Source organism: Homo sapiens, chromosome 1, assembly GCF_000001405.40.
Source record: "Homo sapiens chromosome 1, GRCh38.p14 Primary Assembly".
In the NCBI taxonomy this organism is placed as follows: Eukaryota; Metazoa; Chordata; class Mammalia; order Primates; family Hominidae; genus Homo; species Homo sapiens.
Window position 1 is genome coordinate 16,618,256 of NC_000001.11, and position 12,405 is coordinate 16,630,660.

The window sequence follows — 12,405 nt, forward strand, 5'->3', positions numbered from 1 at the left end:
TTACACTCTTGTCACCAGCACTTTTATTAAGACGTGAAAAGACAAAGACAACAGAGGAGAGCAGAGAATAATATCTCTGTTTCAGCTATTCCAGGATGTTATGCCAATTATCCAGAGTCCTTGATCTGATGTAGTAAAGAGCTAGGGACATTTTCCCTGAAGGCTTTGATTGCTGGCAAAATCTCATTAAACGTGTATACATTCATAGGTTGGCCATAGGATGGATAAAAGAAGAGCCTCTGGCCTACATCTGCCACGATACATGTGCAAAAATGCTCTCTGCAGCATTATTTTTCATTGTAAAATAGCAGAACAAATTTATTATTCAATAATTATAAAATGGTCAAATGTATGTGACTATATTTGGACAATGAAAAATGCAGCTGTTAAAAGCAGACAATACTGATGATTCAGATGATGTTACTGATGAAAATAATAACAGATGACAATTATTGAGCATTTATGGCATTCTTACAGGCATTACCTTATTTAAAGTTCAGAACTACCAAGGAAAAGAGTAACTTGTGGCAGGCGTGAGAGGTTCCGAGGCACAAAAGGAAGATAGGCATTCAAGGAACACCAGGATAGAAGACCCAGAGTAGGAGAAGAGAGAGGAAGAGGAGTCCGCCAGATGGGATGCTGGAAACCGCGGGATAGCTCGGTGGAGAGAGGGCGCTCCTGCTCCGCAAGCCTCCCTACGACGGCAGGCCTACCCGGTCCTGCTCCTGCCGGCTCTGGGCATCTGGTTTCTGCCGCTCCATCTCCAGGGAGATGGTGGCCAGGCTGTGCCGTGTACCCATCAACTTCTCTGACAGCGCCATCTTCTCAGACTCCTTCAGAGACAAGGCCTGGGCAGAGGCAGGGGACAAAGGGCTTGGGGGATGGGCTGGTCCTGGGGGCATGCTCAGGCTTCTTGCTGCCTAGGAAATGTGCCCACTGGGGGCTTAGAGGCCTGAGTGTGCCACTGCAGGTGGACCCAGGGCAGACATGCAGCCCTGGAAAAGGGCACAACGGCAGTCACAAGAATCCCGGACGTGGATACCACTCATAGAGCTCACTAACCCGCCACAGCACCCTGACTGCAGAGTCTTTCTTTCTACCCATCTTACAGATGAGGAAACTGAGGCTCAAGGAGGTAAAGTGACTCGCCCAGGTACACAGCTGGTGAGGAGAGGAGATGGGCACAGTCTGCCCTGTCTCCGTTACATTATAGGAAAGTTAGGGATTTGTTATTTGGGGGGACACGTCAGCTGATGCCTGTGGGCATCGTGGGGACTGCTCAGAAGGCAGCCATGAGGATCCATGCCCAGCGTGGGGTGGGACGAGGCATGGGAGAATATGGAACAGCTTTCCTGGTGTCACGACTGTCACTGTCACTCAGTAAGTGCTCACTGTGTGCCAGGCATGGAGCACAGCAAAGCCTCACGAACCCCCTTCTAATCCTCCCCTCCTGCAGGTAAGGAAACTGAGGCCCCCAAGAGGGCAGTGGCCTGCCCCAGGGCTCCTAGCTGCCAAGTGGCAGAGCAGGGCCCGGCCCCAGAACTGGAGCAGCTCAGAGAGCAGCAGAGGCCACGCCAGGGCTCACGAACCTGCTGCTTCTCGCTCTCGGCCAGGAGGAGGCCCTCGTCATGCTCCTGCTGCAGGGCAGCAATCTCCTCACTCAGCTGTTCCTTCTCAGCCTTCCGCCGGGCCAGCAGCTCCTCCTGCTCACGCTGCAGCTGACTCTGCAGCTGGGCCCGCTCGGCCTCCAGCTCCCGCCATGCTGCCTCCTAGGGGGCCAGGACTGGACGCGTGTGACACACCAGGAGGGGCCCAGGCAGACCCCCCAAAACATCAGGGCAGCAAGAGCCATCTGGCCCCCATACCCTCAGAGATGGAGGGTGACCAGGTAAATACAAGGGACTGATAAGGGCTATGACGGGGACACGCCAGGGCCGTGAAAGTGCCAAGGAGCAGCAGTGGGCTGGCCTGGGGGTCCGAACATGATCCCCTGCGGAGAGACAAGTAACTGTCAGCCAGGTAAGGAGAGAAAAGACCACCCCAGGCCAAGAGCACAGCCCCTGGAAAGGACTACAGGATGCAGGGTGCAGAGGGAAACAGGGCACGGTGAGTCACAGGGCCAGAGCCCCAGGCAGTGGCTGGGCCAGGACAGGCCGTGTGGGCCATGGGGATTCTAAGGACAGTGAGGGGAGTGGGAGAGAGGACTCGAGCCAAGGTGACAAGGAGCAATCTGATTTTTAGCTTAGGGGATGTTCCGACAGCTGTGGAAGAGGGATTGGGGTTGGGATGGAGGAGAGTTAGGACTGGCTGTGAGGAATGAAGGGGGTCAGGGGTTGCCAGAGGAGCTGGAGAGAAGAACACAGATTTGGGGACATTAATGAGGCCAAGCCAGGCAATGCAAAGGGCAAGAAGAGCAAGGGGGAGGTCACAGTTCAGATCCCTGGGGACTGGACAGGCGGGCAGGCAGAGCCCACAGGCAAATAGCAGCCCACCCGGGGAGCCCGAGGGCAGGTGCCTGCCTCAGCAGTTGTCCCTAGCAACTCTGTGAGAAGCAGACAGAGCTGCCACTTCTTTTTTTTTTTTTTTTTTAGACAGAGTCTCGCTCTGTCACCCAGGCTGGAGTGCAGTGGCGTGATTTTGGCTCACTGCAACCTCTGCCTCCCAGGTTGAAGCGATTCTTCTGCCTTACCCTCCCAAGTATCTGGGACTACAGGCGCGTGCCACCATGCCCAGCTAATTTTTTGTGATTTTAGGAGAGATAGGGTTTCACTGTGTTAGCTAGGATGGTCTCGATCTCCTGACCTCGTGATCCGCCCACCTCAGCCTCCCAAAGTGCTGGGATTACAGGCATGAGTCAGCACGCCCGGCCAAGCCACCCCTTCTTTAAGAGCTTCACCATAGCTCATGCCTGGAATCCCAGCACTTTCGGAAAGAGCTTTACCGCCCCCTGATGGAGAAGCGTGATAACCACCACCCAAGGCCATGGGGACTGCAGGGTGAGTGGCATGCCCTGGAGCCATGTAGTCATAGCCTGCACCTCTGTCAGAGGAAGCCCTGTCTAGGATTTGGTGGCTGAGGGCCCCTGTTCTGAGGGCCACTCTGGAGAGCATGCCAGTGCCAGCAATCATAACTCATGGAGCATTTGCTAAGTACCAGTCACTATGTTAAGCCCTCTATGCAGATGGTCTCAGCTCATCCTCAATACCTTCCACTATCCTATCCCTATTTCTACAGGTGGGGAAATGAAGGCACAGACACCTTGGGTAGCATCACCAGTAAGCGACCAAGATTAGATTCAAACCCAGGCAATATAACCCCAGAGTCAGTGTTCTAGTAACTTCCCTGGCCCCTTGCCTTTCTACATGCTCAGGTCTGCGTGGCCCTTCATATGGAAACTTCTTAGCAAATGAAAGTGCTTTCCTGCTGTGCATTAGGTCAACATTTCCCAAATGTGGTTGTGGACCCTCTGCATCAGGATTACCAGGGCTGGACCAGATTTGGGACCTGGGTATCTGAATGTCTAATAAGGACCACAACCTCCCCACCACCCCTCCAGTCCTCCCAGCTGTCCCCAGGGCCTCCACAACAGAGAGGGAGTCCCATTTCACAGATGTACAGACCGAGGCAGAGCAAGAACGATGATGAAACACTGGCTCAGACTTCTGCCCACCCCTCCCCAGCTGCCTGAACCTTTTCACGCTGGAGTCACTGTAAGTCCTCCTCCTGGGCTGCCCACTGCTCCCGCAGAGAGGCCTGGGCCTCCCGCTCAGCCTGCACCAGCTTCTGGGCCATCAGCTCCTTGTCTAGACTGGCTTTCTCCTGCGTAGCTATTATTTGCTGCCGCAGGCCCGCCAACTCCCCTGCACGAGAGGAATGGGGGAAAGGGCAGGGTTGGGTTGAAATTTTTCCTTGGGCCAGCAGACTTAGGCCAGTTGAGCCATATGGGCAAAATCCCAGAGGCAGAGGGCCTGCCTGGCATCCAGTTTGGGTCCTCTTGAAGAAGTGGCTTGTCCTCTCTGGGCCTCAGTTTCCCTATCTGCTACATGGGCCCACTGGCCCTGACCCCTTTCCTGCCTACCTAGAATGGCATTAAAGGCATAAAATGACTGATGAGAAGGCCTCCCAAATGGGACGGATGTCAAACATATAACAACCCTAGGCCAGGTGCCATGGCTCACTCCTGTAATCCCAGCACTTTGGGAAGCTGGGGCAGGTGGATCACCTTAGGTAAGGAGTTCAAGACCAGCCTGGCCAACACGGTGAAACCCTGTCTCTACTAAAAATACAACAATTAGCTGGGCATGGTGGCGGACGTATGTAGTCCTAGCTACTTGGGAGGCTGAGGCAGGAGAATCGCTTGAACCCAAGAGGCAGAAGTTGCAGTGAGCTCAGATCGCACCACTGCACTCCAACCTGGGCGACAAGAGTGAGACTCTGTCTCAAAAAATCAAACAGGCTGGGCGCGGTGGCTCATGCCTGTAATCCCAGCACTTTGGGAGGCCGAAGTGGGCAGATCACCTGAGGTCGAGAGTTCGAGACCAGCTTGACCAACATGGTGAAACCCCGTCTCTACTAAAAATACAAAATTAGCCAGGCATGGTGGCGCGTGCCTGTAATCCCAGCTACTTGGAAGGCTGAGGCAGGAGAATCGCTTGAACCTGGGAGGCGGAGGTTGAGGTGAGCCAAAATCGCGCCATTGCACTCCAGCCTGGGCAACAAGAGTGAAACTCCATCTCAAAACAAACAAACAAAAACAAACAAACAAACAAAAACCCTATTACTGACTCAGCACTTACTATGCGTCAAGCACCCAGCTAAGTATTTTAGACATAACCTCATTTTGTCTTCATAACATGCCTATGTAGTTTATCCTCATCCCCGTTTAACAGATGATGAAATGGAGGATCAGAGGAGATCAGCAGCAACTTCCCACAGCTGCACAGCTACACATAAAGCATCTCCTTTAATGACTGACATGAACATACCTGTCAAGCATTAACTATCAGCATTAATGGAAACGACTACAGGGAATGGAAATGGTATAGCCATCATCTAAAAACCATCTCCCGGGTTGGAAACCCACCAGCATTTCCCTTCCTGGTTCTGTCTGGCTCAGGTGTACATGGACAGGAAAATTAATTTCCATGACCCAAGTAGGTGCTTAGTTAATGTTAGATGAGCAGAAAGAAGCCCTGAGTTCAGAGATTCGATGGGGAACGGTGCAGGGAAGTGGGGCTCGGATTCTGGGGCCAAGAGAGTCATCTGAAAACCACAGAGAACTCAGACTAACAGGCCTGATGACCGATGAACAGCAGTTACTGTTGACTCAGCCAGGCACCGTGCCACGGCCTTACACGCTTTTCCCATGTCATCCTGGCAACAGGCTTAGAAGGTGGGCATTGCCACCTCCAATCATCAGCTGAGGAATCTGCAGCCCAGAGAGGAAAGGGGCTTGCTCAAGGGAAGGTGAGATCTAAGTGGTGGCACAGGACTGGAACCCAGGCCAGCCAGACTCCTACTCCAGTGCTCCCAACTTCTGTGAGACTACAGACATTGGGAGGTTGCAGTCTGGGCTGGAACCTGGTGTTCCCCCCAAGTCCCCAGCCACTCGTACCAGTCAGGGTCTCCTTGGCCAGCAGCAGGGCCTGCCCCTCGGCTTCCAGCTGCTCCCGGCGGGCCTCAAGCTGGGCCAGCTGCCATTGCACCTCAAACAGGCTGCCCTCCAGGGCTTCCTTCTCCAAGCTGCAGCACATACAGTGCGTGAGGCCCTGGGACTCAGCCTCCCTGGCCCCAGGAAACTGTGGATCTCAGGGAGTGGCCAGGCATGGGCCAAGTGCCAATCTACCTGCCTGGCCAGGCCCACACTCCCTGGGGAAGCCTGAGCCCACAGCTAGGACGAGTTGGCAAGCCAGACTCCTTAGTAACTGCCCCTGGGGGCCCGTGCCTGGGTGAGGCTGTTCATGGCGTGGCCCCAGGAGGACCGCCCAGGGCGGGTTGGGCAGAGCCCAAGGCCTTACTGCAGGTGTGTGGCCTCCTCTGACACGGTCCTGCCTTCACGCTCCGCAGGCCGCCAGCTGCACAGCCAGGCCAGCGTGCTCCTTGGCTAGCGCCTCCTTCTCCCGGGCCACTTGCCCCAGCGTCTCCACCTGTCACTGGGCCTCCCACCGGGCCTGCTCCAGCTCCTGCTCCCGCCTGCTCAGCTGCCAGGAGAGCTGGCTCCCACCCAGAGACTGAGTAGCACTCCCAGCATCCCCCAGCTTGTTCATCGTGCAGTACCCCAACTCTGGGCCTAACCCAGTCCTGGCAGAAGGCCTGGGTTCGAGCCCAGGGTCTGCCCTGATGTGCTATATGTACTTGGGCAAGTCATGACCTTCTCTAGATCTGCAATGCACGTGTGTACAAAAACCAGGGCCCGGCCGGACACGGTGGCTCACGCCTATAATCCCAGCACTTTGGCAGGTGGATCACTTGAGGTCAAGAGTTCAAGACCAGCCTGGCCAACGTGGTGAAACCCTGTCTCTACTAAAAATACAAAAATTAGCCGGGCATGGTGGTGCACGCCTGTAGTCCCTGCTACTTGGGACGCTGAGGCAGGCGAACAGCTTAAACCCCGGAGGCAGAGGTTGCAGTGAGCCCAGATCGTGCCACTGCACTCCAGCCTGGGCAACAGAGCAAGACTGTCAAAAAAAAAAAAAAAAAAAAAAAAAAAGAAAAGAAAAATGAGGGTCCTCACTCAGCTTTGGAAGTAACAGAACCCTTGTATTACTCTAAGCAGAGAAGCTGAATATATAAACCAGACCCAAATGCAGCTGCTCAGCAGGCCTCAAGGTGGAGACTTGCACCCTGCTTCCTGCACTCCCTACCCCATCCTCTAGAGGCACCTCCCAGAAACCCAGGCCCTCCAGGATGGACCTTGCATGAAGGTCCCTGGATCCCTGAAACATTAAGGTCTCTTCGAGATGTGAAGTTCCCAAAAGTCTAAGATTCCAATTCTAAAAAGTCTCCACCTATTATTAATCTGTATCATTATTATTATTATTATTGAGACGGAGTCTTGCTCTGTTGCCCAGGCTGCAGTGCAGTGGCACGATCTTGGCTCACTGCAACCTCTGCCTCCTGGGTTCAAGCGATTCTCCTGCCTCAGCCTCCTGAGTAGCTGGGACTACAGGCGCGTGCCACCACACCCAGCTAATTTTTTGTAGAGATAGGGTTTCACCGTGTTAGCCAGGATGGTCTTGATCTCCGGACCTCAGGTGATCCACCCGCCTCGGCTTCCCCAACTGCTGGGATTATAGGCGTGAGCCACTGCACCCGGCTAGCCCCATGTTATAAATGGGGCAACTGAGGTATGGGAGGTTGGGCAGCTTGTCCAAGGTCCCCAGCTAGGAGAAGTGGGACTGGATTTAACCCAGAAGCAGGCTCCAGTGCCTGTGACTTAACCCAGGACTGGATGCAGGAGGCTGCGAGCCTGGCCTGCCCCACATGCTCTCCAGACCACCCCACACACAGTTTGGCCTACCTGTGCTAGCTGCTCCTGCAGCCAACTGAGCTCATGGTGCAGTGTGGGGAGCTGTTGCTCCAGCGCCTCCTGGGCCTGCTCCGCCACTCATAGGGAGCCCTCCAGGCCCTGCCGTGCCACCTCCTGCTCCAACCACAGCTCCTCCAGCCACTCCTGCTCTGCCGGCGCCACTGTGGCCTCCTGCTCCGCCTGCCGCTGCCGGCCCTGCAGCATGGCCTTTTCTTCCTCCAGCTGTGGGCCGGAAAGGAGTGGGGCCTCATGAGCAGGGCGTCCCTCCCAGGACCAGGACGCCTCCTCCACCCACCCACCAGCCACGATAGCCCAGGGGAGGCTCCCAGGGAATGAGGGACAGTGCCCTTGGGTGTGTGGGACACTGGGGAGGGGGAGATGAGGAGGGCCCATGGAGCGTCGGTGCTTTGACTCCTAGAGAGGACAGACAGACAGACGGAGATAGACAGAGAACCAGAGACAGAAAGGGAGGCAGGGGCCAAGACAGGTGCAGGGCCGGGCCCAGGGTGCCTCACTGAGTGGGGAGGACGGGTGGGCAAGGTAGGTGGGCCCGCAGGTGCACAGTGTACCTGGGTGACAAGGCAGTTCAGATCCAACTTGTCCTGAGCAAGGCTCTCGTTGAGGGCGCTCAGCTTGGACAGGGAGTCCTGCAGGGAGGCCTCCTCTGCCCTCAGCTTGGTCACGGAGAGCTCGAGCTCCATGCGGCCAGCCTCACCCTGCAGGGTCAGGCCCCAAGAGATGAGGAAGGGCAGAAAGGTCGGGAGGAGGTGAGGAGAGACAAGAAGAGACCCAGAGAGATGGACCCTCGGAGACAGGGGAGGGGAGACAAGGAGGGGATACGGCGTGAGATGGAAAAAAAAATCACCGCAGAAAGCCTGCTGCTTATGGAGCCATTTAAAAGCCATGCACCGCAAAGCTGTGCAAAAATAGCTCAAGCTGCAGGGCAGGGCCAGAGTTCAGAGGATCCCCTGAGTAAGGTCTAGGGATAGCACTGCTCAGAGCCCAGGCTGCAGCGGACAGCGCAGGCCCCCCCGCCAAGGACCCTCTGCGCTGTGGCCACAACTCTCAGACTCCAGGAGCTGAATCTCAGGATGACCCTGAGCTATAGGCACTGCCCCCAGGAGCATCCAGAACAGCAGGGATACGGCCATAAAGAGAGGTCAGTCCACTTATGGCTGGGACCAGAGGTCCAGAGGTCTGTGGCCTGTGACAAAGATCAGCCTGTATCCAGAAGGAAGGGGTCAGTCTGTGACCAGGCTCAGAGGTCTGCCTGACACTGGGACCAGTCTGTGCCAGAGTGACAAGGCTTGGGGCTGGGGGTCAGAGGTAGGTTTGTGGTTGTGCAGCAGACAGGGACCCACCTTGGTCAGCGCCTCGGCCACCTCGGTCTTCTCGGCCTGCAGCATGTCCCGTTGCAGCGTGGCGCGGCTCAGCGCCTCCCTCACCTCCACCAGCTCCTTGGCCAGGACTGAGCGCTTCCCTTCCAGCTGCTCTAGTTGTCTATGGCTGTGGGACAAAGGGTGGGTGGGTGGCCCATGTCACTTTCCTGCCCGAACCTCCTGTAGCCAGCAAGATGCTGGGCCGGGGACCAGGCCTGAGGCACGAGTTTGGAGAGAAACAGCCTGAGCCACAGGGCAACCAAGCCCACTACCGCTTAGCTCCATGACCCTGGGCCTCCGTTTTCACATCTGCAAAATGAGGTAACACTTGCCTCGTGACATTGTTTGTTTTTTTGAGACAGAGTCTTGCTCTGTCGCCCAGTCTGGAGTACAGTGGTGCGATCCTGGCTGACTGCAACCTCTGCCTCCCAGGTTCAAGCAATTCTCCTGCCTCAGCCTCCCTAGTAGCTGGGATTACAGGTGCTCACCACCACACCTGACTAATTTTTGTAGTTTTAGTAGAGACGGGGTTTCCCCATGTTGGTCAGGCTGGTCTTGAACTCCTGACCTCAGGCGATTCGCCTGCCTCGGCCTCCCAAAGTGCTGGGATTACAGGCGTGAGCCACCGTGCCCAGCCTGTTTTAAGGATACAAACTTCACATGTGCTTAAAATAGTGCCTGACACATCTCCCCAAGGACCTTCAGAAACAAGAATAACATGCTCCACCACAGTCTACTAAACATCATCAGCGATCACGTCCCTGAGAGGTAAGCAGCGCAGTGGTGAAGAGGTTAACTCTGAAGGCAGAATGTCTGGGTTCAAATCCTGGCTCTTCTGCTAACTGTGTGACCTGGGGCAAGTGACATGGCTTCTCTGTGCCTCAGTTTACCATCCACAAAATGGAGATAACAGCTTCTATGTCACAGAGTTATCATGGAGTTAAATGAGAGAACTGAATTGCTTAAAATGGTATCTGGCACTTAGTGAAATTAGTAAGGATATTATTATTCTTCTAACTAAATTTTTAAAATACTACTACTAATATTACTAGTGTTATTTTAATTATTCTTGTTATTATCATCCAAGTTCTACCTTTTAACTAGTTCTCTGACTCCAGGTAAGTGACTATACCTCCCTGAGCCCCAGTTTCCTGAAATGGGTCTGGTTAGAAAACCCGACATCAGAGGGGTCCAGACGGTAGGAGGCCCAGGACCCAGTGGGTGTCACCTAACCCCATGGGGGCACTGTCAGGGGACCCGAGGCACATTTGAAGGGTCCTGGCAGGGAGGTGAGATGCTGCTAACCTGCGCTCAAGCTCCCGGCGAACCCGTGCGCCATTCTGCACCGCCTCTTCCTGCTCTTCCTCCAGCCGGTCCCGCTGGCGCTGCAGCTCCTCCTGGGCAACCTGCAGCTTCTCCCGCTCCTGCGGCAGCTCCTCGGCCTGCTGCTGGGCCACCTGCAGGCTGTGGACCAGGTTGCTCTTCTCCCTTCAGGACAAGGGGAGCGGGAGCAGAGGGGATGCTGGGGCTGCTCTCTCCAGGGAAGGTGGCTGGCTGCTCCTCTAGCCATGAGCTACATCCTCCCGTCTTCCAAGGCACCTGCCTCCAGGAAGCCTTCCCTGACCCTGCCCATAGCAGACTCATTTCACTCACACACTCCAGCAGAAGAACCTGGCTTTCCTTCTCCCCAGCCCGCCCACTTAGAGTGGATGGAGGTGCTGGCGTGATCTCTAAGCACTCTACCACGTAGAAGAGGCCAGGCTAGGCTCCTGGGACACACAGGCAATTGTGCCACCAGTTCTGCTAGGCCATGTGACCAGGAAATGTCCCCTAGAACACCCCATGCCCCTCAATTCTGGGAAGCCTGATAGAGCTGAGTCTGCAGATCCCACAGCTTCCTGCTACACAGGCACATGGTGGCCACGGCAGGGGAGGGAGGAGAAGGGAACAACTAGGACCCCAAAGACTTGCTGTGAGCTGCCACTTTCCCCACTGGTGGTAGGTGCAAAAAACTTCAAGACGTGATTTTTTTTTTTTTTTTTTTTTGAGATGGAGTCTCGCTCTGTTGCCCAGGCTGGAGTGCAGTGGCACGATCTCTCCTCACTGCAAGCTCCGCCTTCTGGGTTCACGCCATTCTCTTGCCTCAGCCTCCCGAGTATCTGGGAATACAGGCGCCCGCCACCACGCCTGGCTAATTTTTTTTTTTTTTTTTGAGACGGAGTCTCGCTTTGTCACGCAGGCTGGAGTGCAGTGGTGCCATCTCGGCTCACTGCAACCTCTGCCTCCCGAGTTCATGCCATTCTCCTGCCTCAGCCTCCCGAGTAGCCGGAACTACAGGCACTCGCCACGATGCCCGGCTAATTTTTTATATTTTTAGTACAGATGGGGTTTCACCGTGTTAGCCAGGTTGGTCTCAATCTCCTGACCTCGTGATCCACCCGCCTCGGCCTCCCAAAGTGTTGGGATTACAGGCGTGGGCCACCGCGTCCAGCAATTTTTTTGTTTTTACACACAGTCTCACTCTTGCCTAGGCTGGAGTGCAGTGACACAATCTCACTGCACTCCACACAGCTTGCTGCAATCTCCACCTCCAGAGTTCAAGCGATTCTCCTGCCTCAGCCTCCCGAGTAGCTGGGATTACAAGCGCCTATCACCACGCCCAGCTAATTTTTGCATTTTTATTTAGAAGTGGGGTTTCACCATGTTGGCCAGGCTGGTCTCAAATTCCTGACCTCAAGTGATCTGCACGCCTCGGCCTCCCAAAGTGCTGGGATTACAGGCGTTAGCCACTGTGCCTGGGCAATTTTTTAAATTTTTAGTAGAGATGGGGTTTCGCCATGTTGGCCAGTGCCTGCGGGACAAGACCGACGGCGCCACGCAGGTGTTCCTCTAGGGCCCGCCGCTCACTCTCGCTGTCGCTAAGCTGCTTCCGCAGGGTGCCCAGCAGGTCCTGGCTTGCCTCATAGCGCCCACGCATGTTCTGGGGCGTGGGGATCACAGAGTCTAGCGGGGGTCCTTTGAGGCCTCCAGAGCCCACCTACTCTCTTCTGGTTCCAGGGATACACACTAGCCTACGCTAGGCGGGGTCCAGGGCCTGGACCTGCCCTGGGGCAGGATAGGGGCCTAGGCCTGAGAGCCAGGCTTCCACTCCCCTCCTATGTGCCCTCACCACCCTCTGAACCCTCATCTCCCTGGGGTCCCGGACAACTCCTATCAAAGCCCCCGGGATGCCAGACAAACTCCCAGGCACACTCGTCTCCTGGGTTCTGATCCCACCCCCAGGGCTCCCAGGCTCCTCCCCCTTGCATCCTGGTTCCACTCTCACACTCCTCCCTACCCTGGCTCTGCCCCTAGTTCCCAAGCTCTCATCCTAGGCTGTGATTTCCCTTGCTAGACCTTTTCCCAGGGTCCTGGCTCTGTATGACCAGGGACCTGTCTCCCTCTCTACCAGGACCCTAACACTGTCGCAGCCTCCTCCCTCCACCGGCTGCCCAAGCA

At 55.6% G+C, this 12,405-nt stretch overlaps 1 pseudogene across 19 annotated transcripts in view, besides 5 other annotated features; it reads right to left on the reverse strand.

Annotated features, from left to right (window-relative positions):
* CROCCP2 (CROCC pseudogene 2) overlaps nucleotides 1–12,405 on the reverse strand; it is a 27,216-nt pseudogene continuing 14,811 nt past the window's right edge. For 15 of the 19 annotated variants that reach the window (NR_197614.1, NR_197618.1, NR_197616.1 and 12 more), the window contains 6 exons: nucleotides 10,213–10,395; nucleotides 8,890–9,034; nucleotides 8,098–8,244; nucleotides 7,520–7,750; nucleotides 1,590–1,769; nucleotides 1–848 (listed from right to left, as the gene is read on the reverse strand). The product of NR_197614.1 is annotated as a CROCC pseudogene 2, transcript variant 15 (transcript). Of the gene's footprint in view, nucleotides 849–1,589; nucleotides 1,991–5,614; nucleotides 5,743–7,519; nucleotides 7,751–8,097; nucleotides 8,245–8,889; nucleotides 9,035–10,212; nucleotides 10,396–12,405 lie in introns of all 19 variants that reach the window. The other 4 variants (NR_197609.1, NR_197604.1, NR_197607.1 and 1 more) reach the window with 4 other exon arrangements.
* Nucleotides 298–966: an enhancer, noted in NCBI's record as "H3K27ac-H3K4me1 hESC enhancer chr1:16945048-16945716 (GRCh37/hg19 assembly coordinates)". NCBI's record gives its function as "activates a minimal SCP1, AML or CMV promoter by ChIP-STARR-seq in naive H9 embryonic stem cells {active_cell/tissue: H9 hESC(naive)}" and the evidence as "EXISTENCE:reporter gene assay evidence [ECO:0000049][PMID:30033119]".
* Nucleotides 967–1,634: an enhancer, noted in NCBI's record as "H3K27ac-H3K4me1 hESC enhancer chr1:16945717-16946384 (GRCh37/hg19 assembly coordinates)". NCBI's record gives its function as "activates a minimal SCP1, AML or CMV promoter by ChIP-STARR-seq in primed H9 embryonic stem cells {active_cell/tissue: H9 hESC(primed)}" and the evidence as "EXISTENCE:reporter gene assay evidence [ECO:0000049][PMID:30033119]".
* Nucleotides 1,635–2,303: an enhancer, noted in NCBI's record as "H3K27ac-H3K4me1 hESC enhancer chr1:16946385-16947053 (GRCh37/hg19 assembly coordinates)". NCBI's record gives its function as "activates a minimal SCP1, AML or CMV promoter by ChIP-STARR-seq in primed H9 embryonic stem cells {active_cell/tissue: H9 hESC(primed)}" and the evidence as "EXISTENCE:reporter gene assay evidence [ECO:0000049][PMID:30033119]".
* Nucleotides 5,576–6,086: an enhancer, noted in NCBI's record as "H3K27ac-H3K4me1 hESC enhancer chr1:16950326-16950836 (GRCh37/hg19 assembly coordinates)". NCBI's record gives its function as "activates a minimal SCP1, AML or CMV promoter by ChIP-STARR-seq in naive and primed H9 embryonic stem cells {active_cell/tissue: H9 hESC(naive and primed)}" and the evidence as "EXISTENCE:reporter gene assay evidence [ECO:0000049][PMID:30033119]".
* Nucleotides 6,767–6,836: a silencer, noted in NCBI's record as "silent region_334". NCBI's record gives its function as "represses an Ori minimal core promoter by ATAC-STARR-seq in GM12878 lymphoblastoid cells {active_cell/tissue: GM12878}" and the evidence as "EXISTENCE:reporter gene assay evidence [ECO:0000049][PMID:35858748]".